This window comes from Homo sapiens, chromosome 16 (genome assembly GCF_000001405.40).
Source record: "Homo sapiens chromosome 16, GRCh38.p14 Primary Assembly".
Lineage (NCBI taxonomy): Eukaryota > Metazoa > Chordata > Mammalia > Primates > Hominidae > Homo > Homo sapiens.
Window position 1 is genome coordinate 76,219,659 of NC_000016.10, and position 4,885 is coordinate 76,224,543.

Below are 4,885 nucleotides of genomic sequence, written 5' to 3' on the forward strand. Positions count from 1 at the left end.
ACACTTAAACAAGTCTAGAAAGCATGTGTGTATTTAAAATTGTTGTGTGATATAATAGACACTCATGAGGGCAGACATGTTAGCCCTATCCCAAGCCCAGAAGAGAACTGGAACCAACATATTGCGGGATGAACAAAAATTGCTGAAAATTGGCTTTGAGTGGATATTTGAGTTAGAATCAATCTAGGTTGTCTTTATCATTTATAAATCCAGAGTATCATCCAGCATTTTATTCTAGACAGATTTTAGAAGTTTTACTTCAAAGGCACACTGGATTATAATTCTTTAAAAGGATACAGGCATGACTAACATTGAGAAGAGTGATTCAAACTTTTCAAAAAGAGCGCTGAATGCTGGGTCTGGTTAGAGTTCGTCTCTGTGAAAAATACTCTGATCATGGGGAAACTAGGGCAAAGTATGGGTCTCAAGCAGAGCTTTAACAAATACAACATGTTGTGTTTTTAATTCTTGGTTGAAAATGAAAAATGCATCTGACATTTTTGTGAAACAAATACTATGATTTTTTTTTTGACCCCAGGAAGAATAAAGCACATCTCACCTTTAGTGGCCAACTTTATTTTGTTACTTAAACATAATAAAATAGCTTCAAGGGAAAGCTTGGGAGAGAGCTCAAGGAGATTGCAGTCAATAAGGATTCAAATTACTCCATGACTTCAATGTTTGAAACATTTAAAGGAGAGAACATGTGATATTAGGTAAACCAGCAACATTCCTAACAGAGGGTGGTTATACAGCTCATTGACAGACCATTAAGTCAATAACACAATGGCTCTGAGCATTTGTTTGGGTCTCCAGTTTTCATAAACAAATCTCTGCTTTGCAATAATTTAACTAATTTTTTTCTACACACCAATACAGTACACCAGCAAATGAACAGATAATGAAGAATCGATGTACCCTGCCACATGCTCTCACCTCTCTTCAGGTAATTCTCACTTTGCAAAGATGCTGAAGCACTTGAGATATTAAATATTTGAAGAAATAAAAGGACAAAACTAAGCAAAAACAAACAAATAAAACACTCCACTTGGAACACGAGGTCAATTCAGGAAATGTGTTTGTCTCAGAGCACCAGTACGATTTCCTCTCATGTTGAAGTGTTTTTTTCCACTCTGATTTATGCTTCTCTTCATAGTTGATTTTTTTTGAATAGATTCATTCTCTGCATTTTAAATGGTGTGACTTAAAACTCAAAGAAACTTATCCTTTAAGTTGTTTTGCACTTGTAACTACTGGCAAGTACTTATCTTTCTATCATTTTTTTATTAGTTTGCATAATTTGATGGTGTATTTTACAAATAATAATTTCTTAAGAGTATAATAGTTCACTTAGTGAATACTCTTAACTGTGTAATACATTTACATTTAAATCCAATAGTTTAATTGAAATAGGACCTATTTGGAATAGGAACAATTGATCACAGACACATGGAAAATATTTCATAGGGGCAGTAAAATACAGATATGAAATTTATTTTAATAATACATAATGTTTATTTAAAATATATGTGTACTCTCAGAGTTGACTCAGGTGCATATTAAAGGAAAAAAACCCACGCCCTTTTCTCATTTGTCTCTCCTTGTGTTTTCTAAATAAAAATCTAATGATAAGTTCCAGAGAAGCAGCATTTATATTTTTGAAAAACTAGACAATGCATCTCTTTTTTCATAAAATGCCAGGTTGTATCCATTATTCTTGTAACTTACAGAATCCTAAAGTATATTTGCCCAAACTGAAAAGTTCTGAGCTTACTTGAGGAAGGAGGCAAAAAAGCACTGTCAAAAGTTTAAAAAATTCCAACCCATCTATAATTGTTAGAATCCAGTAACTACTTATGTGAATATTCTTTATAAACTTCAGTGTCTATTTTAATATTATAGTATGTATGACAGGTAATAAGCTAACTTTTCGGAAACTAAAATGAACACCCAATTACACATATATTTCCTTATGTATGCTGATTTTTTTGAGATATAAATCTCGTGATTGTTGGTTCACATAAATAATCTTATGTTTCTTCTCTGGTGACTTAGAAAAGATTATTAGTTTCTAATGATGTCTATTTATACTGTTGCTATATCCAATGATTTTATTGTTTGGCTAGGCTAAATATCTTAATTTACATATCTTGTATTTTACCTAACAGTGTTTTAAGATCTGTTGTTATATAAAACTCTGCTTGCTTTGCTGAATTCATAACTATCAGAAGCAACATATTTATGATTAATGATGGAAAATATGCTTTGAAGATGTTTTTATTTGCATTTATAGATATAATTTGCTAAAGGATTTATGTGAGCACTACTCATAAATGTTCTGATCAGATGTTTGACTATAAAACATTTCTAAATGCCACACTCCACAGGCTAATGACCTATCCATCTGAAATAGTATTCCGACTCCTATAAATGTTACACATTTTAGATCTTTTAGAGATAGCTTTTATATCTTCATGTTTGAGGAAATATCCAGAAAAAGAGTAACTTCCCTGAACAGTTAGGACACTGTAGAGGATAAAGATGATGAAGAACGCTGACCTATGAATCAGCACTTAATAGAAGGCTAGAGGTCAACCCCCAAAGTCCAGGTCAGAATGCTCACGGACAGCCAGGAAAGCAAATAGCACATGGTACAATCGGAGTGAAAGGGACATAGTGAGGAAGTCACAAGATGACAGGGTATGTATATAATTAGGACATTCCTGAGAAATTGAAAGACATCCTAGGCAGATTAAAAAGGAGTGAGATGCCTGGACCTTCTCAATTTATAAATAAGGTTATACACTTCAGGGGAATATTTGTTAACTCATTTTTCCCACAAAAATACTGTTGCCTTAAATTAGCTCATAACATCCTAACTCATGTTTTAGCTGACTTTTTTTTTTTTTTCTTAGTCACCTCTTTCAGACTTTCCAAGGCAGTTTGGCTGGCACCATTATATGTCTTAATCTTTATTTTTCTCTTTTTTCTTTAAATCCTATACTTCATGCTTATTACTTAGCTCTATTTTATTTCCTGCATTATTTTTGGAACAAGGAAAATTATACTGTAACCAAGTGTGCCAAATAAAGCAAAACAGGAAAGGAAGGAAGGCTTTATTCAGTCTATTGAAGTAGGGGAGACAGACTGAACGTGACTCCACTGAAACAAAGGTGAGAGGGTTTTTAAAGGCTAAGGTGAGCAAGTAGAAAAGTAGCCGTGGATGTTAAGGGAGAAGTTGATCAATGGTATGTGTTGAGCACATAAATTATTCCTGAGTTTGCAAATGTTTTTCTCTGTGATTAGACCACCTGTGTTTGCTAATTGGCATCCATCAAAGTTAGGCTGCTACCCTCCCACAGAGATTGGGAGATAGGAGTGCTATCTCCTTCGGTGTTTACATTTCAAAGTGATGGTTCCCAGGTCCTTGAGAAAGACATTGCCTAGATTGCAAAACTGTCAGGAGGCTGGGAGAAGATTTACATACATTTCAAAGGGGCAGGAAAAGAATTTACAATTAGACATTTTCTAAAGTAACTGCTCTAAGAATAGGGAGGTCTGTGGTCAAGAAGAAGTCTGTCTAAAATTAAGTCAAGCTGGGGGGTGGGGGGGCAGGGGGCAACTCTAAGGCCATCTTGGTTAAGTGTGTATTAATTTTCAAATATTAATGTTTACATCTATTATGTATCCATTGCATATTTTATATTTGAATATAAATTCTGCAGCATACAAACATGAGTGAATGTAAATATTTCACACCAGTCTGTAATCTTCTATCTGTGTTCTTAATTTCTTTTCTGCTTGTAGAATTCCATCATCATTTACTGAACCAAAATTCATTAGCCTGCCCCTTATGACAAACACTGAAATAGCTAAGACACAGTCCCTCCTCCCAGGGCCTCTCTCCCCAGGCTCTAAAGGTGTTTGGGCATTTATCTCCTGAAGGTAACTCCAGTGAAGGAAATTGAAATATTTTACTCCAAAATATATTTCTTTGACATATTTTGAAATGCTGCCACTTGGCCATCCTGACACTTGGCCTTGTAAAGCTGTCTTTGGCGGGGAAAATTTGCATCTGTTGAGAATTTGCATTAATTCAGCCAGAGTCCTTCCCCTTTCTATGCTTTTCCCAGGTGCCAGGAGAGATTAAGAGTTTGACACCTTTTAAAGTCTGAAAAGAAACATTTACCACCGATCATCTCTGAGGGAGGCATCATCTACGTATCAAGGACACGTTTGCTAGCCAAGCTTCTTCCATTCTTCACTCTCTTAACCTGTCTACCTGTTTCTGGTCGTGGTCCGAATCTGCATTCTTTACTGTGGCCTCAGGATGGTATATAAATTTCTGTAACTTACTGGGAAGTTGGGTCTTCATTCTAAAGGCTCCCAAGTATATGCATTAAGTAAATTTGGATGTCTTTTCTCCTGTGAATCAATCTGCCTTATGTCAGTGATTTTTAGTGAACCTTTAGGGGACCAAGAGCTTTGGCCCCCACACCACCCACAGAAGACAGGAGTGGTGCAACGTATTACCCAGCAACCTTACTGCAAGTCAGACAGGTGCACAAATAGTCCAAAGAATACAAAATGCAGTCATGCATCCCTTTGCCTATTGGATATATTCCATTGCAGACAGAGTCCAGAGTGGAGATATGCATGTTCATATTGTTCAGCTTGTTTCCAGTTTTTCACAGCCTGGGCATTTTTGTTCAAAACTCTAGAGCTGCACTGTTCAATACAGTAGTAGACACATGTGACTATTGACTGTTGAAATGTGACCAGTCCAAAATGAGAAGTGCTGTAATTGCAAAATACACATTAAATTTCAGAAGCTTAATGTGATAAAAATAATGTAAAGATATCTCCAAGAATTTTTATATTGATT

The 4,885-nt window shown here is 35.4% G+C and overlaps 1 annotated feature.

Annotated features, from left to right (window-relative positions):
* Positions 3,721-4,460: an enhancer, noted in NCBI's record as "OCT4-NANOG hESC enhancer chr16:76257277-76258016 (GRCh37/hg19 assembly coordinates)". NCBI's record gives its function as "activates a minimal SCP1, AML or CMV promoter by ChIP-STARR-seq in naive and primed H9 embryonic stem cells {active_cell/tissue: H9 hESC(naive and primed)}" and the evidence as "EXISTENCE:reporter gene assay evidence [ECO:0000049][PMID:30033119]".